This window comes from Homo sapiens, chromosome 5 (genome assembly GCF_000001405.40).
Source record: "Homo sapiens chromosome 5, GRCh38.p14 Primary Assembly".
Classification (NCBI taxonomy): Eukaryota; Metazoa; Chordata; class Mammalia; order Primates; family Hominidae; genus Homo; species Homo sapiens.
Genome location: NC_000005.10, coordinates 38,979,246 through 39,000,009, shown reverse-complemented (window position 1 = coordinate 39,000,009; position 20,764 = coordinate 38,979,246). Strand labels below are relative to the sequence as shown.

The following is a 20,764-nucleotide window of genomic DNA, read 5'->3' as shown; positions in this document are numbered from 1 at the left end:
AATACTTCTTTTATGAGTGTTCATGTCATCTAATAATACATTACCACCTTTCTTTTGCCTAGTGGTTGCATGGTATACCTTTTACCATCCTTTTACTTTCTTTTTTTGTCTTTACATTTAAGTGTCTCCCCTGTAAATATCATATAGTTTTTTTCTTTTTTTATATCTGGTTTGACCAACTTTGTCTTCTTATTGGAGTATTTAGACTATTTATGTCTAGTGGTTTATTATGTGCATGATTTATGGACTTTGTCTAATGTAATTATTTGTGTGTATTTATGAGTTTGTTGTCTCATTACTAGCTTCCTAATACTTGAATTTGTTTGCTATCTTGGTATTTGTATTCTATTTGTCACATATGTTCTTTGTTCTTGTATTTCTCCTTTTTTTTGCTTCTTTTGAAATAACAATATTTTTCCTCTTTTCGTGTCTTGGCTATGAAGTCTTTCCTTCTTTTTAGTAGTTGTCCTAGAGATTGGAACATATATCCTTGATATATTAAGTTCTGCTAGTCATCTTTTGTCTGTAAATCCCTCTATTTTGCCTTCATGTTCAAAGGCTGTTTTCACTACCAGTTACTTATTTTTCAATGCTTCAGTTGTTGTCTTCTAGATTTCTTTTTCTTTTTTCTTTTAACAGTTGAGCAATAAGTAGCTTCTCTTGTTGCTTCTTTGGGATATATCTTTTTACCTCTGGCTGCTTTAAAGATTTTTTTTTTCTCTGTTGTATATTCTGTCCTATTGATTGGTACTCCATCTATACACATGTTGGATCTTTTCACTGTCCCACGTTTCTGATGCCATTATTGTATTTTTCAACGTTTTGTTGTGGTTAATCTTTGTATTTCAGTGTGCTTAGTTTCTACTTACCTGTTTATTAAAAACCTTTCATCCTGCTAGTAAATGACTCTCATGAATTCTTAATTTCAGTTATGATTTTATTATTTATTTTAGGTTTGTTTTTTTTTTTTTTTTTTTTTTTTGCCTGTTTGTTTGAGATGGAGTCTCGCTCTGTCGCCCAAGCTGGAGTGCAGTGGCGCAATCTCGGCTCACTGCAACCTCCCTCTTCTGGGTTCAAGTGATTCTCCTGCCTCAGCCTCCCGAGTAGCTGGGACTGCGGGTGCGCACCACCACGCCTGGCTAATTTTTTTCTATTTTAGTAGAGACAGGGTTGCACCATGTTGCCCAGGCTGGTCTTGAACTCCTGAGCTCCAGCAATCCGCCTGCCTCTGCCTCCCAAAATGCTAGGATTACAGGCGTGAGCCACCGCACCTGGCTTATTTTAGTTTTATTTAAAGATTTCAGGTCTCCGCTTCATTTCTTCATCTTTTCTTCTATTTTCTTTAGCATATTAACCATAATTACTTTGAAGTCCCCTCTGACAACTCCAATATGTGAATCACCTGTGTTCTATTTGTAGTGCCATTTTCTTTTCTTAGTTTTTGGTTCTTGGTCCTTTGTTTGTTTTAAACCGTGCCTCATATTGTCTGATAGAATGTGAACATTGGTATTCAAAATTGTTGGGGCTGGGCTTGGTGGCTCATGCCTGTAATCCCAGCATTTTGGGAGGCCTAGGCGGGCAGATCACTTGAGGCCAGGAGTTTGAGACCAGCCTGGCCAATGTGGCGAAACCTCTGTCTCTATTAAGAAAACAAAAATTAGCCAGGCATGGTGGCATACACCTGTAATCCCAGCTACTCAGGAGGCCAAGGCACCAGCTCTGTCTCAAAAACAAACAAAATATCCAAACAAACAAAAAAACACAATTGTTGTCTCAGGATCATGTTATTTGCCTTGTAAGAGAGTTAAGTTTTATTCTAGTATGTTGGTTTATTACACTGATTCTGTTAAAGTTTGGTTTTAGATTTGCCTTTGCTCCTAGCAGTGGCTATTTAGGATCTCAGAGTGTAGATATTGAGCAGAATCTTTTCACCTTAACCAGTCTTGAACCTTTACCTATTTCTTAGAGTATTGTGTTTCTGCTGAAATCTATACTCTGTTCCTTTGTTTCTTAGAGTGTAATTCTGCTTTTGCACAATGTGGATGTTGACAAGTGTCTTGGAGAGAACACTGCATGCAGATTTTAGCTCACTTTCTTCTGTTTTCTTCTCTCAGGGATTTTACCCCTCAAGTCCCAGCTACTTTGGCTGCCCTGAAGTTAAACCTCTGTCTTTTCAGTACGGCCAGATTTCTGCTTTCTGTTAGGACTCTGCCCGTAAGACCAGGGATTGACATTGACAGATGCACCCAGGGAACAAATGTGGTTGAATGTGGAGCTCCCTGTGCTTCTTTTTTCAGGGATTATTCTTCATTGCCCTTTTAACAGTTGTTTTATACTGTAAAGTATTTTTTTTTTTAAATCTTCTTGGTTGTTTTTGGGAAGACAGTCAGAACCTCTCATCTCTGACATGGCCAGGAATGGAATTCTAAGTCCATTTGAATTTTAATAGGATTGCCTTAGATTAATTGTATTCAGATAGAAGAAATGCTTTTTGAATCACAGACTATCTATATATAAAGCATTGATTAGAATAATGAACTGTCTAAATAAAAATTATGCTTCTACATAAAAGACTTTCAAAACTGGATAATTTAATAAATTTTACAAAGAAATGTCAGTTTGGTGCTATTTGTTTGGACATCAATATTTGAAGTGAATTCAGAATTCAAATTATATTTTGGTAAGATAGAATTTTTATGGATAGTGCCTAATTTAGTTTAAGCCCTGGTCAAAATTGCAATTAAATGAAAACAGCCTTGAATTATTTTTCCTTTACAATTTTTATAAAATGTCTGAATTTTATCAGAGATAAGTGAATTTTTTTAGTAGACTTTTTACACTTTATGTTTATTATTCTTTCTTTATGAATAGATGTAGTCTTGTAAATTACTATACTGTTCTTTCCTAACGTTTTAAAAGAAAAAATTGGTCTTTTAAATGACAGATATTTATCCCTCGAGATGTATGGGTTAATTAAATAAATATATGCTGGTACTGAGAAATCATATACCAAAACAATAATATACCATATTGACATTGTGAAAATGGGTTTCATCTATCAGTATTGTGATACAAAAAGTTGTTTAATAGAATTTTATCAATGATTAATATTTTGTGTATTGTTTAGGTGCATTGACATACAACAGAGCAACGAGGTAGAGAGGACACAAGCACTTCGATTAGTCAGAAAGGTATGCTCTATGTGTGAGAGTAAAAGGCAAATTTATGGTTTTTATGTTAATATTTACATTTTTAGATTAGACTTTTGTGAAATCTTTATTAAGATTAAAGACTAAACTTTTATTAAACATTTTTATTAAAGTTTTATATTAAATAAATTCATTAAACTTTGAGGTAAACAAATATTTTGTGGAATTCTATGTGATTGGGTATAGGTAGGGCAATATTTCTTATAAAATGTTTATTTTGAAGAATATTTCTTCCTTCAGTAGACATGTAAATGTAGTTACTGCTTTGATAAGTTACTAGAGGAAGAGGATTACTTGCTCCCCATCCTGATTTTCTCTTAATTGCATACTTAGAGTTAATAGTATTAAATGGAAGTCACAAATACTAAGAAGTTCATTGTTTTAAAGGTGAATTTGGATACAATCTGTGGGCAGTTGCAATAAACAATTCAGGCCCTTGTACAGGATAAAAGGTCACAGCCTACACTCCACAAGAGAGGGTGTTAAGGACAATCCATAATGCTTCTCTTGAGAGGCCTTCAGGGAATGCTTTGTTGTTTTTACTTGATACCCTAATGGTGGAAGAAGAGAGTGAACTGAGAGTAAATATGGTTGGGACACAGCCTGAGTGAGACAAGTGTCAGTCATATTTTATCTTAATGTTCATGAGAATCATGAAGTATATGTTTGTTTGCATAAAAAATCTAAAAATATTTTCCAGTTGAATTTTTTAGTTCTTTTTTTCTCTTCCTATCTTTCAACTCAGTACACAGGTTCCAAAATGGTGTACTGTTCAATTTCTATGTTAGCTAGGGTTCCCTGTTTTTCCCTTTTCTTAAAATTGTCTACCTTTTGGTTAGTAATAGTAATAGTACTCACAGGTGAACAAGTAAATGGATGAGTTAAGCCTTAAAAGAAGTTTGAAATTCGACTAAGAATGATACCGGAAATAGATTAGGAGACTCTTGTTATAGGCGAACTGTTACACTAGGATTGTAATTTGACTTTTCAAATTCAGATTTTAAAAATCTATGGTTTTTATTTATACAATTCTTCCTTCTTCCATGACTGAGAATTCAAGATAAAACAAAATTTGTTTCTGAAGAACCTAGAACAATTTTTTGGTTATTTGGGTTATATGTCAGTATTTATAATGTTAGGGACTAAAATATATATTAATATGTTTAAAATAATAAACACATTAAATACAAATATAAATAACATTTTTATGAAAACCATATTTTATTTTATTTTATTTTTTCAATAATTTTTGGGGTACAGGTGGTTTTTGGTTACATGGATAAGTTATTTAGTGGTGATTGAGATTTTTGTGCCCCTGTCACCCAAGCAGTGTACACTGTACCCCGTATGTAATCTTTTTATCCCTCACCTCCTCCCAAACTCCCCCCACCTCTGGTCCCCAAGTTAATTATATCATTCATATGCCTTTGTGTCCTCATAGTTTAGCTCTGCTTATAAGCAGGGAACATACAATATTTGGTTTTCCATTTCTGAGTTAATTTGACTTAGAATAATGGCCTCCGGCTCCATCCAAGTTGCTTCAAAAGACATTATTTCAATTGCTTTTATGGCTGAGTAATATTCCATAGTGTATAATACCACATTTTCTTTATCCACTCATTGGTTGATGGGCACTTAGGAATGACTATATTTTCCAAAAAATAAAATTAATGAGAAGAGGGCTATTGTTTTAGAGTTTTGCAACTCTCTTTAATTTTGTCTTGATAAACGAGTCAATTGGATTATCATATTTGCTTCTGCATTCAGTCTGTTTTGATAACACATGCGGTGGAGCCCCCGGAAAACTTTAGTACACACTTGTGAGAAAATAAGAGTAAAAAGGACAAATAATGTCTTTGTATTGCTATGCAGAATCTCTGAAAATATCTTAAGGACCCTCAGAATTTCCTGGTCTACACTTTGAGCATAACCGCTTTAGAGACTGCTGTCAGAAGAAAAGACAATTTCAAATGGATTCAGACAATTAAATTCAATTTTGGATATTTTAGTAAATGTTTTACTTCAATTTTGTATTTTTGCATAAGTTAAAATTTAATTTAAAGTAGTTTTTAATTGCTCAAAAATAATAGCATAACAAAAATATCATTTCATTTGATTGTCTTCTGAGATGCAGAGTAGTTGACTCACATACCATTTGTGAATCCTAGAACAGGAAAATTGCTGATATTTGGTGGTGGGATATAGAATCAGCGGTAGAATTGTGGCACAGGGCTTTTCCTTGGTTTATGCTAAAAGGGTTAGAGTGAGAGCACATTTGCTGAACGAACAGTGGCCTCTATCGGCCAGAGAAACTATAATTTCATTAGTGCTTTTGGCATCTGAAGCACTTTTTTTTTTTTTTTTTTTTTTTTTTTTTTTTTAGTAAAACCTTGGCAGCTGTACTACAGGTTGAGTATTCCTTATCCAAAACGCTTGGGACCTGAAGTTATTTCCCATTTTGTATTTTTTTGGGTTTTGGAATATTTGTGTATACACAGTAAGTTATCTTGTGAATGAAACCTAAATCTAAATACAGAATTTATTTACATTTCATATACACCTTGTACACATATCCTGAAGTTAATTTTGTATAATATATATATATTTTTTTGAGATGGAGTCTCGCTCTGTCACCCAGGCTGGAGTGCAGTGGTGCAATCTCGGCTCACTGCAAGCTCCACCTCCCGGGTTCAAGCCATTCTCCTGCCTCAGCCTCCCCAGTAGCTGGGACTACAGGCACCCGCCACCACGCCCTGCTAATTTTTTATTTTATTTTATTTTTAGTAGAGACGCGGTTTCACCGTGTTAACCAGGATGGTCTTGATCTCCTGAGTTCGTGATCTGCCCGCCTTGGCCTCCCAGAGTGCTGGGATTACAGGCGTGAGCCACCGCGCCTGGCCAATTTTGTATAATATTTTTAAGAATTTTGTGCATGAAACAAAGTTTATGTATATTGAACCATCAGAAAGCAAAGTTGTCAGATGCTGAATTTTCTACTTCTGGCTCATGTCAGTCTCAGAAAGTTTTTGATTTTGGAGCATTTTGGATTTTTGGATTAGGGATGCTCAACCTGCAGTATAAATTAATATTTAATATTATAATTACTATATCACTGAGTTTTTTTGTATGAATTCCCAAGAGTCTTAAAATTTCTAATAAAAGTATGTCTATTATATTTTAAAGGATAAGGAAAAACATTTTTTGCTTTAGGATAACTTACACTATGAATAATTAAGGAATTCTTATGTTACTTTTTCTCTTATTTTACCCATCTCATTCATTTGGAAATGTTCTGTCTGCTTTTTTCTTTTCCATGTCTCTGATTTCCCCCTTCTCTCTCCCCCTTCCAATGCAGGCAGCTCTTTTCTGGCTTTATCTCCCTCATTTTTAATGTAATTTTTCCACTAGTCAGTTACTACTATTCTTTTCTTAATCTTATTTAAATTCTACTCGCTGCCCACCTAATTTGAGCTGTCATTTTTTTCATATATAGTTTCTTTATTCATGTAATAAGGAATTCCACAAACTTTTTACATTTGAAAGAGATTCATTGGCTGGTATCTCATGCCCTTGATACATAGCAAGATAGTGGCAAAGCCAGAGCAAGAACCCTCTTCTGCAAAATTTCCAAACCTACATTGGCCCATGAGTTTGAAGTTCAACCTGCCAACTTTGGCCTTCAGAGCCCAGTTTTGGTCCAGCCAACTATTTTTATCTGACATGTCTTTTGCCACCATGTGTAGGCAAACTACCCACCACTACTACCACAATTGTTACTTCCTTCCTACTCTTCATTTTCAGCCCTTCTCACCTTACATCGATCTTCTAGTCTGAGCTCAAATATTAGATATTCCCCTTAGGTAACTCAGTGCTTCTCTAATTCCTTTGTGTCAGTTCCACAAATTTATTACCTAATCATGATCTTTAATTTGTTTTATATGTCTGCCCTGTCATGCCAGAAGAGATTATTAAACTTTTACAGTTTTAACAGTGACTGCATTTTATGGCTTCTCCCTTACTGAGCATTCATTGATTTATGAGGAAAGCATTCTCTGATTTACACACAATTTAAGAGTTTCTTTGCATATATTTACCTGGAAAATAAGAAGAGTGATTTTATTTGTAAAAATTTTATGTATATATTTCATAGCACAATCTGGTGAATTAAGTATATGTTTAGTAGACACAAGATTTATATAGAATTTTATACTTGAAACTTTAGAAATCATCTGTTCATACATATCTTCATTTTACAAATGAGGAAACTGAGGCACAAGAGAGGATTGGTTTAGCCAAGGTAACATAGTTTATTATAGCAGACTTAACTCTAAAAACCATTTTGCCGGTTTTTTCAGCCAGCTCTTTACAGAATATATTACATGCATTTTGCTGTTTGGAGAAATTTTCTCATAAGCTCCTTATAAGAATAATAATAATCAGAAAGTATTAAAAAAGAACTTACCGACATAAGATGTTAGAATTCTTTCACCCAGGAAGATTGATTTCCTATACTTCCTATACCTCCTTCCTTCTCCCTTTCTTTCTCTCCTTTTTCAGTTAATTGAAAAAACTGACTTAGAAATGAATATGAAAGCTTTTGTAGATTCTACAGTTATTGGAGATGTATTTGATTTATGCTTGTAGAACTGTATTCTGTAATTTCAGGTGAACTTTGTAATATGTCTTAAAAATGCTGTTTAAATGACAAACCACTTACAACTACTGATCAAACAGATCTTTCTTTTGATCTTCTGTAAGACTTAATTGTGTGTCTTTCATTAGTTATATTACATCCTCTAATTGTTTCATCTCACAAGTTTTATTTTATCAACAGGACAATAAATCTAGTAATATCTGGGTCAAATTAATTTTCTCTAATATTTTATTACTATACAAACAAAATATTTTATTTCCACTCCAGTAACCTGCTATTTTGAATTAATTTGCAAAATAGTCTTTATTTATTAAACAGTAATTAGCTACATAATTTTCTGTTTCCCAAATCAAAGACATATGTTACCTGTTTTCAATATTCCAAATGTTACTGCCAGTTAGATCTTTAATGTGAGATTCATACAAAATTTTATTACAATATATTTCCATCAGGATTTTTGAAATATTAAAAATAGATTTGGATTATGAACTCTGCTTTCTGGTATAGCAACAAGTGATTGATGGGAGAGGTGACTAGAGAGTAAGGAGATCATTAGATATCTATTGCAGTAGTCAGAGTGAGAGTGAGGGCCCAAGTTAATCAATTAATTTCATGAGGAGAGGGGAGTAGAGATAAAGATGTTATGGAAGTAAATTGGTAGGACTTGGTGATGATGGTATATGGAGAGTTGGTCAGGATCGTAAAAGTACAGTAGTATATTGACTACTATTGTCCCCTCTGGTTTACCTTGTCTAGGTACTGAAAAACTGTTTAAGATTTAGGCCCTATTCTAGAGTAATTTAAAATCTCAGAAACATTTGGTCAGTGAATTTATAGTCTGTACTGTTAGAAAAAAATCTAACACATTTTCCATAGTAATGGCTATTAACATTTGTTACATCAATTATTAGTTATATTAATCTTTTGAAATATCCATAAGCAAAAGATTAAAATTGATACCTAGATCTTATTCTGGATCTTATTCTGTTATTAACTACTTCAGTCTGGACAAAATAGGTTTAAGAAATGTATTACTAAAGTAACTTCTTTTTCTGATTCCTTCTGTTACAGATGATTACTGTGAATGCTTCCTTGTTTCCTAGTTCTGTGACCAACTCATTAATTGCAGTTGGAAATGATGGACTTCAAGAAAGAGACAGAATGGTCCGAGCATGCATTGCCATTATCTGTGAACTAGGTCAGAATTTTCTTCAAGTAATGAAAATGTAATATTTTAGAAAGGATATATAACATTTGAGATATATATATCTATCATATATCTATCATATATATATCATATATCTCATATATCTCATATATCATATATCTCATATATCTCATATATATCATATATCTCATATATCTCATATATATCATATATCTCATATATATCATATATCTCATATATATCATATATATGATATATATCATATATATCATATCTGATATATATCATATATATGATATATCTGATATATATCTGATATATATCATATATCTGATATATGTCAGATATATATATCATATATCGTATATATATCATATATATCGTATATATCATGTATATATCATATATATCGTGTATATATCGTGTATATCGTGTATATATCGTATATATATCGTATATATATCGTGTATATATCGTATATATGTATTTTTTTAAATTATACTTTAAGTTCTGGGATACACGTGCAGAATGTGTAGGTTTGTTACATAGGTATACATATGCCATGGTGGTTTGCTGTACGCATCAACTTGTCATCTACATTAGGTATTTCTCCTAATGCTGTCCCTCCCCCGACCCCTGATAGGCCCCGGTGTGTGATGTTCCTCTCCCTGTGTCCATGTGTTCTCATTATTCAACTCCCACTTATGAGTGACAACATGCAGTGTTTAGTTTTCTGCCCCTATGTTATTTTGCTGAGAATGATAGGTTCCAGCTTCATCCATGTCCCTGCAAAGGACATGAACTCATCCTTTTTTAATGGCTGCATAGTATTCCATGGTGTATATGTGCCACATTTTCTTTATCCAGTCTATCACTGATGGGCATTTGAGGTGGTTCCAAACCTTTTGTATTGTGAACAGTGCTGCAATAAACACATGTGTGCATGTGCCTCTATAGTACAATGAGTTGTAAATATACCCAGTAATGAGATTGCTGGGTCAAATGGTATTTCTGGTTCTAGATACTTGAGGAATTGCCACACTCTTCTTCCACAATGGTTGAACTAATTTACAGTCCCACCAACAGTGTGAAAGCGTTCCTATTTCTTCACATCCTCTCTAACATTTGTTGGTTCCTGACTTTTTAATGATCGCCATTCTTACTGGGGTGAGATGGTATTTCATTGTGGTTTCGATTTGCATTTCTTTAATGACCAGTGGTAATGAGCTTTTTTTCATATGTTTGTTGGCCACATAAATGTCTTCTTTTGAGAAGTGTCTGTTCATATCCTTTGCCCACTTTTTGATGGGGTTGTTTTTTTCTTGTAAATTTGTTTAAGTTCCTTGTAGATTCTGGATATTAGCCCTTTGTCAGATGGATAGATTGCAAAATTTTTTTCCCATTCTGTAGGTTGCCTGTTGACGCTGATGATAGTTTCTTTTACTGTGCAGAAGCCCTTTAGTTTAATTAGATCCCATTTGTCAATTTTGGCTTTTGTTGCCATTGGTTTTGGTGTTTTAGTCATGAAGTCTTTGCCCATGCATGTGTCCTGAGTGATATTGCCTAGGTTTTCTTCTAAGTTTTTTATGGTTGTAGGTCTTTAATCCATCTCAAGTTAATTCTTGTGTAAGGTGTAAGAAAGGGGTCCAGTTTCAGTTTTCTGCATACGGCTAGCCAGTTTTCCTAACACCATTTATTAAATAGATTGGAATCCTTTCCCCGTTGCTTATTTTTGTCAGGTTTGTCAAAGATCAGATGGTTGTAGATGTATGATGTTATTTCTGAGGCCTCTGTTCTGTTCTATTGGCCTATGTATCTGTTTTGGTACCAGTACCGTGCTATTTTGGTTACTGTAGCCTTGTAGTATAGTTTGAGGTCAGGTAGCATGATGCCTCCAGCTTTGTTCTTTTTACTTAGGATTGTCTTGGCTATATGGGGTCTTTTTTGGTTCCATATGAAATTTAAAGTATTTTTTCCAATTCTGTGAAGAAAGCCAGTGGTAGCTTGACGGGGATAGCTTTGAATCTATAAATTGCTTTGGGCAGTATGGCCATTTTCACGATATTGATTCTTCCTATCCATGAGCATGGAATGTTCTTCCATTTGTTTGTGTTCTCTCTTATTTCCTTGAGCAGTGGTTTGTAGTTCTCCTTGAAGAGGTCCTTCACATCCCTTGTAAGTTGGATTCCTAGGTGTTTTATTCTCTTTGTAGCAGTTGTTAATGGGAGTTCACTCATGATTTGGCTCTCTGTCTATTATTGGTGTATAGGAATGCTTGTGATTTTTGCACATTGATTTTGTATCCTGAGACTTTGGTGAAGTTGCTTATCAGCTTAAGGAGATTTTGCACTGAGACGATGGGGTTTTCTAAGGAGACCCATCTTACGTGCAAAGACACACATAAGCTCAAAATAAAGGGATGGGGGAATATTTACCAAGCAAGTGGAAAGCAAAAGAAGCATGGGTTGCAATCCTAGTCTCTGATAAAACAGACTTTAAGCCAGCAAAGATCAGAAAAGACAAAGAAGGGCATTACATAATGGTAAAGGGATCAAAACAACAAGAAGAGCTAACTATCCTAAATATATATGCACCCAATATAGGAGCACCCAGATTCATAAAGCAAGTTCTTAGAGACCTACAAAGAGACTTAGACTCCCACACAATAATAGTGGGAGACTTTAACACTCCACTGTCAATATTAGATCGACGAGACAGAAAATTAACTAGGATATTCAGGACTTAGCTCTGGACCAAGCAGACCTAATAGATATCTACAGAACTCTCCACCCCAAATCAACAGAATATACATTCTTCTCAGCACTACATCACACTTACTTTAAAATTGACCACATACTTGGAAGTAAAACACTCCTCAGCAAATGCAAAAGAACAGAAATCAAGACAGTCTCTCAGGCTACAGTTCAATCAAATTAGGACTCAGGATTAAGAAACTCACTCAAAACTGCACAACTACATGGAAACTGAACAACCTGCTCCTTAATGACTACTGGGTAAATAATGAAATTAAAGCAGAAATTAATAAGTTCTTTGAAACCAATGGGAACAAAAACACAGCATACCAGAATCTCTGGGACACAGCTAAAGCAGTGTTTAGAGGGAAATTTATAGCACTAAATGTTCACAGGAGAAAGCGGGAAAGATCTAAAGTCGACACCCTAACATTACAATTAAAAGAACTAGAGAAGCAAGAGCAAACAAGTTCAAAAGCTAGCAGAAGACAAGAAATAACTGAGATCAAACAAGAACTGAAGGAGATACACGAAAAACCCTTCAAAAAAAACGAATGAATCCAGGAGCTGGTTTTTTGAAAAGATTAACAAAATAGACCGCTAGCCAGACTAATAAAGAAGAAAAGAGAGAAGAATCAAATAGGTGCAATAAAAAATGATAAAGGGGATATCACCACTGATCCCACAGAAATACAGACTGTTATAAGAGAATACTATAAACACCTCTACGCAAATAAACTAGAAAATCTCGAATAAATGGATAAATTCCTGGACACATACGCCCTCCCAAGACTAAACCAAGAAGAAGAATAGAAAATAACAAGTTCTGAAATTGAGGCAGTAATTAATAGTCTACCAACCAAAAAAAGCCCAGGACCAGATGGATTCACAGCCAAATTCTACCAGAGGTACAAAGAGGAGCTGGTACCACACCTTCTGAAACCGTTCCAAACAATAGAAAAAGTGGAACTCCTTCCTAATCATTTTTTGAGGCCAGTACCATCCTGATACCAAAACCTGGCAGAGACACAACAAAAAAAGAAAATTTCAGGCTAATATCCCTGATGAAAATCGATGTGAAAATCTTCAATAAAATACTGGCAAACCAAATCCAGCAGCATGTCAAAAAGCTTATCCACCACGATCAAGTTGGCCACATCCCTGGGATGCAAGGCTAGTTCAGCATACGCAAATCAGTACACATAATCCATCACATAAACAGAACCAATGACAAAATCCACATGATTACCTCAATAGATGCAGAAAAGGCCTTCAGTAAAATATTCAACACCCCTTCATGCTAAAAACTCTCAGTAAACTATGTATTGATGGAACGTATTTCAAAATAATAAGAGCTGTTTATGACAAATCCACAGCCAATATCATACTGAATGAGCAAAAGCTGGAAGCATTCCCTTTGAAAACCGGCACAAGACAAAGATGCCCTCTGTCACCACTCCTATTCAACATAGTATTAGAAGTTCTGGCCAGGACAGTCAGGCAAGAGAAAGAAATAAAGGGTATTAAAATAGGAAGAGAAGAAATCAAATTGTCTCTGTTTGCAGATGATGTGATTGGATATATAACATTTTTGAGGCCTTTAATGCATGAATTCTTTATTGTTCCAAAAATGTGAAAAAGTAGTACATTTCTGGTAGGGAAGTGGAGAACTTGTTATTTAACAAATAATTTCAATGCGACATTAAAATTCTATAAATTTTAAACTTTTCTTCATCATTAAATTTAGTATAGGAATTGTCTAAATTCCAGTAATATTATAGAATCTACTAAAGTCTGGCTCTCTAACATTAGTTATTCTGTATGTTTGTATTAGTTCATTTTCACACTATTATGAACTCCTTGAGACTGGGTAATTTATGAAGAAAAAAGGTTATTTGACTCACAGTTCTGCATGACTTGAGAGGCCTCAGGAAACTTACAATTGTGGCAGAAGGCAATGGAAGTGAGGCATGTCTTACGTAGCAGCAGGAGAAAGAGCGAAGGGGAAGTGTCACTTTTAAACCTTCAGATTTCATGAGATTCACTATCACGAGAACAGCATGGAGAAAACCGCCCCATAATTCAGTCACCTCCCACCAGGTCCCTTCCTCGACACGTGGGTCCAATTTGAGATGAGATTTGGGTGGGGACACAGAGCCAAACCAAATCATTCTTGATGTGGGTTAAAAACAGTAAACAATCCATTATGCCTAAAAATAATAAACTCTAGGCCAGGTGTGGTGGCTCACATCTGTAATCCCAGCACTTTGGGAGGCCGGGGGCAGGCGGATCACCTGAGGTCAGGAGTTCGAGACTAGCCTGACCAATATGGTGAAACCCTGTCTCTACTAAAAATACAAAAATTAGCCAGGCATGGTGGCATGCGCCTGTAATCCCAGCTACTCGGGAGGCTGAAGCAGGAGAATCGCTTGGACCTGGTAGGCGGAGGTTGCAGTGAGCCGAGATTGCGCCACTGCATTCCAGCCTGGGTGACAGTGCGAGACTCCGTCTCAAAAAAAAAAAAAATAGAATTGTAGGTGCAAAGGCATGAAAGGGCTAAACAGGGAAAAAACTGGGGCCAGTGGGGAACATGGATGAATATTTATCTGATCATTGGAAGGAAAAGGAGTTTTGAGTTATCAAAAGAAATCACACAGGGATTTTGGCAGCTATAGATATTACTATAAGGAGTCACAAAAACAAGCAGTGCCAGAACAATCCAATAAAAAGGTAAATGTAACAAGTAAAATAAGTAATTTATTTATATACAAACCAATAGGAAAACAAATACAGTTGGCCTTTCATATCCACAGCTTCCACATCTGTGGATTGAACCATCCGCAGTTCTAAAACATTTAGAGAAAAAAAAAATTTTAAATACAGTATAACCATTTACATAGGGTTTACATTGTAGGGTATTGTAAGTAATCTAGAGGTGATTTAAAGCATATGAGAGGATGTGCATAGGTTATATGTAAATACTATGCCATTTTATATAAAGGACTTGAGCATCTGAGAATTTTGGTATCATCGGGGGTCCTAGAACCATTTCCCTGTGGATACAGAGTGATGGCTGTAATTCTCAAAGAAATGCATGGCTAAGCAACATATTTTAGGCTGGGCATGGTGGCTCACGCCTGTAATCCCAGCACTTTGGGAGGCCGAGGCGGGTGGATCACGAGGTCAAGAGATCGAGACCATCCTGGCCAACCAACATGGAGAAACCCCGTCTCTACTAAAAAACAAACAAAAAAAAGGTACGCATATAGTCCCAGCTACTTGGGAGGCTGAGGCAGGAGAATCGCTTGAACCCGGGAGGCGGAGGTTGCAGTGAGCCGAGATCTCGCCACTGCACTCCAGCTGGGGTGATAGAGCGAGAGTCTGTATCAAAACACCACCACCACCAACAACAACAACATATTTTAAAAGTTCAACCTCACTTATTATCAAAGAAATATAATTTTAAGTCACAAGAAAAGATGTTTTTTTGCCACCTGAAGTAGGAATGGTGTTGGTTACATTCCTTCTTGAGGTGATAAATGATAACAAAAGTTTAAGCTAAAAAAAAAGAGAACCAAAACCTACCATTGAGGATTTTTTAAAAAGACCACAATACTTGTTGATTTAAAGACAGAGTCAGAACTGTGATTAGGGAAATTTAAAAAATATGTAGTAAAACTTGACTGTGCACCAGTCTGTAGGACTGCCTGGATGCCTAGAAAGCTATACTCAAAGATAATTTTTCATTAGAAAGCTCATTATAATTAAGCAAAAAATAAGTGAGTGAACCAGTATAACTCAAGAAATACCAAAAGAAGAAAAAAAATCCATTTCATGTTAAGCAGATGGAGAAAAACCAGTAAAAGTCTTAATTATTGAACAAGATAGATTATGTAATCTAAATTGTTAATTGGAAGAAGAAACTAAAATCCACAAATGTTTGGAAAACTCAAAGATTTGAAATACAAAAGATTAATAAATAAATGAAGAGAATAGTTTTTATGTTATTCGGAAACTTAATAATATGAATGGATTTTCAGGATAAATTTTAATTTCCAGTCACTCACAAATTGTAAAATACAAATAGTTCAAAAGCTATAGAAGTATTTGAAAACATTGATAAAATAATTGCTCCAAAAAAACTCATCCAGGTACTTTTGTTTTAAAAAAAAAAACAGGTAATTCTTACGTAGTGTTATCTGATTTAGAGCATTAAAAAGATACAGATTTCTTTCTTTTGTTTTGTTTTGTTTTTGTTTTTGAGATGGAGTCTCACTCTGCCACCAGGCTGGAGTGTAGTGGCGCAATCTCAGGCTCACTGCAACCTCCGCCTCCTGGGTTCAGGCAATTCTCCTGCCTCAGCCTCCCAAGTAGCTGGGACTACAGGCACGCACCACCATGCCCAGCTAATTTTTTTTTGTATTTTCAGTAGAGATGGGGTTTCACCATGTTGGCCAGGATGTCTCGATCTCTTGACCTCGTGATCCACCCGCCTCAGCCTCCCAAAGTGCTGGGATTACAGGCCTGAGCCACCGTGCCTGGCCAAACCTACAAATTTCTTATTATGTAACTAGCATTTTATGTACATGTACACAGATACACATATGCCTAGATACATAGATAATTAGAAGGCTCCTTTGTTAACATTCAAGAATATTTATCTCAAATCAACAATCAATGCTATTCTTAATGGTGAATTTCTACAGATACCACATCCTTGTAACTATTAATTAGCATTATTTTAAAACTTTTAGCCAGGTTATTAGCCAAAATAAAATATGTTTATATATTGGAAAGGAGACAGTGTTACTTTGTAGATGGTATCTTATATATAGAAAAACTCTGAAGCGAAAACCAACTTAATTTTAGGTAGTAGGACTATGTGAAAACACAGATTTGACAGATTTTTGTGTTTCAACAATAATCAGTAATTAGAAAAAGCAATACTATTTTAAAGTAGAAAAGAAAATATATAAGACAAATTTTATAAGAACTGTGTATGACTTGTGTGTGTGTTTGGGAAGTACTTTTGAATTTGTCAAATTGGTTCTTAAGAAGACACAACTAATCTATAAGGGTAGAAATGAGAACAGTGGCTGCCTGTGCAATGGAGGAGGACTCATTGGAAAGTAATGTGAGAGATCTTTCTAGGATAATGAGAGTTCTGTGTGTTGAGTGGGACATTGTTCATAGTTTATTGAACTATACCATTAAGATCTGTGATTTTACTAAATGTAATTATGCCTCATTTTAGAAAATAGAAGAAAAGAAACTTGATTCTAAAATTTTCTGGAAGAATAAACAGTAAAGAACCAACCATGAAAACATTTTTGAAAAAGAGTAAAAATAAACATTTTTGAAAGAGAATATATTTATATGTATATGTATGTATAAACTGTTAACTGTTTATATATATATATGTATGTGTATATATATGTATATATATATGTGTGTATGTATGTATAATTTTAAACTGTTAACCTAGGTTGTTAAGGGAGAGAAAAATGAAAGAGAATCAAGAGTTGCTGACCCTGATAAACAGAAAACTTTAATGTATCATAAAGTACAAAAACTAGTTTGGGAAGCATCCCAGGATAATTGATTCAACATTTGGAAGGGGGAAAATTGAGTTTATCATCTTAACAAAACTCAGCTTCCTAACAGATTGAAAACCGAAGTGTAACTAATTCATGAACTCTTTTAAAACACATATGTACACATGCACGTATGCAAATAAATGCCTGATCTTTGGAGCAAGAAATTTTTGAGCTTAAAATTATTAAACTGTGTGTTCTATGTGTGTGTTTAATAAAAATATAGAGAAATGAAATACACCATTTTAATCAAAATCTGAAGTTAAATCACAAATGAAAGATTTGAGACAGATAAATGGCTAATATCCCTACTTTATAAAGAACTCCCTGCAACTGATAGGAAAAAAAGCCATTCCGTTATTATATGGACAAAGGGTATGAAAAGACAATCCAAAGATATTTTAAATATCAGGTTGTGGGGAAGTATATTCAGTGACTCTTACATTTTCCACTTGTCCTTTTATCTACCTGTTCTTATAAATGTTGGTATTAGAAAGTTTTTCAAGTCAGAAAGGCAATTAAGTTTTAAAGCCTAGATTTTTTATTACTTTTAATAATTACCCCAAATATAATATGTTAAGTTTTTCTCTTTTAGCACTTCAGAATCCAGAGGTGGTGGCCCTTCGAGGTGGACTAAACACCATCTTGAAAAATGTGATCGATTGCCAATTAAGTCGAATAAATGAGGCCCTAATTACTACAATTTTGCACCTTCTTAATCATCCAAAGACTCGACAGTATGTGCGAGCTGATGTAGAATTAGAGGTAGGAACTTTAATATTCTTTTCTAGTTTTAAAATATTATTATAAATGTATACTTTTACTTTGAAATACTAAATTTTATAGATGCAGCACCACATTAATTATCAAGCCTAAATTAGCCGACACTAATTTATTCCCAGCTCTGTTTTACAGATCATTCAGTTTGGACTGAATTGAAAACATTACTCTTAAGAATATTTCATCAATGTGTAAATTTTATTTTTGTATTATCTATGAAAAGTTTATGAACCAAATTAGAGTACAAATAAAGTTATGTAACAAATTTACCTATTTAAGATTACCATTTGTTTTTAAGGCCTTTAGTACATTGTGTGTGAATAGCTCCTGCTAATTATACAATATTTATGAAACCTAAAATTATCTGAAGTTGGAAGCACTTTGTTAGCAACTAATTATATCTACTTGAAAGAAAGCATGTATGTATATTTTGTAAATACCTCTTAAATTTTTTACTGATTCAAGTAAGGTTTATTACAGTTAGTCAAAAGTAACAGGGCTACTGTATACCTTATAAGAAAGTATGTCGTGGAGGTTGGAACAGAATTATGCACTGTATTATAGTTTCTTCGTGTGCATGTATTGCATTGTTGTCCTTTGAATATAGTATTTGGAGTCAGCTTAAATCAAGGATTTGTTTGTATTTAGGTATGAAATCATGTGTGATATAAAAGATTGATTGTCCCCTAATTTGTTTTTCCAAATCATTTTTTGAAACTTAAGTGTTCTGTTTTTATCAGGACTATTTTTAAAAATGCTTCACATTATAAAATTGACATTAGCCTATATTATTAACTAACAATGTTAGTATAATAGTCCTAATAAGTGATTTCAAGTATATTATTTATTGGAATCCTGTGGGAATAAACTGGCACTGTTGATATTTTATAATATGTTTAGCTTTAATTTTTTTTCTTATCAAGTAAGAAAACTGTAATTTTAAAATTGGAGAGATGAATAAAAGATAATATGTATAGGCTCTGTGTTTTGCTTTTTGTTTTGTTTTGAGATGGGGTCTCACTCTGTTGCCCAGGCTTAAGTGTAGTGGCACAATCACATCTCACTGCAGCCTGGACCTCCCGCACTCAATCGATCCTTCCATGTCAACCTCCTGAGTAGCTGGGACTATAGTTACATGCCACCACACCTGGCTAATTTTTGTATTTTTTGTAGAGACGGGGCTTTGCCATGTTGCTCAGGCTGGTCTTGAACTCCTGGAGCTCATGCAGTCCACCCACTTCAGCCTCCCAAACTGCTGGGCTTACAGGTATGAGCCACTATGCCCAGCCAGCTGAGTTTTTATTCCTATATATCACACAGTGGATTAGCAAAGCCTTTATGTAAATGAAACAAACCTCAAACACAGGAAAACCAGAGGCCTACTTAGTCTTATCAAAATTGCATTGTAGCCTCAATTTAACTTAGTTGGACGTTAGAATAAGGTGATCAGTCCCCTTAATCTACCTGTCTAGCAGAGGAAAGAATAAGCCATCTCTAGTGGGAGATAACATCACTTGGAGTCTTTTATAAAGTGCACAATGCCTGACATTCAGTTGGAAATTAGTCACGTAAAAAGACATGACTGTATGACTGAAAACCCAAAAGAAAAAAAACAATCCATAGAAACATGCTTGCAGGTGATTCAGATAGAGGAAAAAGACATTAAAACAACCCCGATTAATTTGTTCAAGAAGAGAAATAAAATAGATGAAATAATGGAGAATTTTATCATATAATTGGATATGTGAAAAAAATCAAATGGAAATTCCAGTACTGAAAATACGATATCTGGAATTCAGAGCACAATGAAATTAAAATTCAGTTTGAACAGGAAGATGTTATTAGTAAACTGAAAGAGAAGTCAATAAAAATATCCAAGGGTAAAACAAAAATAATGTTAATACACACAGTAAAGCACAGAGAAAAAAGAAATAAATTGAACAGCACAAAAGGGATAAAACGTAATTGCAGTCTTTGGAGAGAAAAAATTGGCAGAAGCAAAGATCCAAAGAGAAAGTGGCCAAAACTTTGTTTCTAAAACTGATAAAGCTTCATGTTGTAAAGCTCAGAAAACAAACAAGATAATACATAGGGAGGAACTGAGCCCTCTTGCCAATAATCAGCACCTTGTGAATGACACTTGTTGACGCAGATCCTCTAGCTCCAGTCAGACCTTCAGATGACTACAGGCTTGGCTAGCACTTGGACTGAAATCTTATGAGACTTTGAGCCATAACCATGTAGCCAAGCCTCTCCTAGACTCTTAAGTCATTGAAACTGTATAAATTAATAAATATGATTTGTTGTTAAAAGGAGACATAAAGACTAAAGGGAATCCTCAGTTAAAAGGAAAATGACCTAAAACAAAGAAATGCAGGAAGGAATGAAGAGCACCAGAAAAAGTAAATATATGACTAGATTTAAAAGAATCATGACTGTTAAAAGTAGTTATTAATCTCTTATGTTTTAAATTATATTTAGAACTAAAATTCATGTCCACAGTAATGCCGTAGACAAGATGGGAAGGTTGTTAATAAAATATAGTAGTTCTAAAGTAGCCGGTAATCCCAGCTACTCTGGAGGCTAAGGCGGGAGGATTGCTTGAG

The 20,764-nt window shown here is 34.5% G+C and overlaps 1 protein-coding gene across 11 annotated transcripts in view; it reads left to right on the top strand.

The window, feature by feature from the left end:
- Positions 1–20,764, top strand: part of RICTOR (RPTOR independent companion of MTOR complex 2) — a 136,480-nt gene that overhangs the window by 74,390 nt on the left and 41,326 nt on the right. For all 11 annotated transcript variants that reach the window (NM_001438249.1, NM_001438049.1, NM_001438247.1 and 8 more), the window contains 3 exons: positions 3,128–3,191; positions 8,935–9,061; positions 17,974–18,143. In NM_001438249.1, coding sequence (NP_001425178.1) covers positions 3,128–3,191; positions 8,935–9,061; positions 17,974–18,143 — 361 coding nt within the window. The remainder of the gene's footprint in view (positions 1–3,127; positions 3,192–8,934; positions 9,062–17,973; positions 18,144–20,764) is intronic.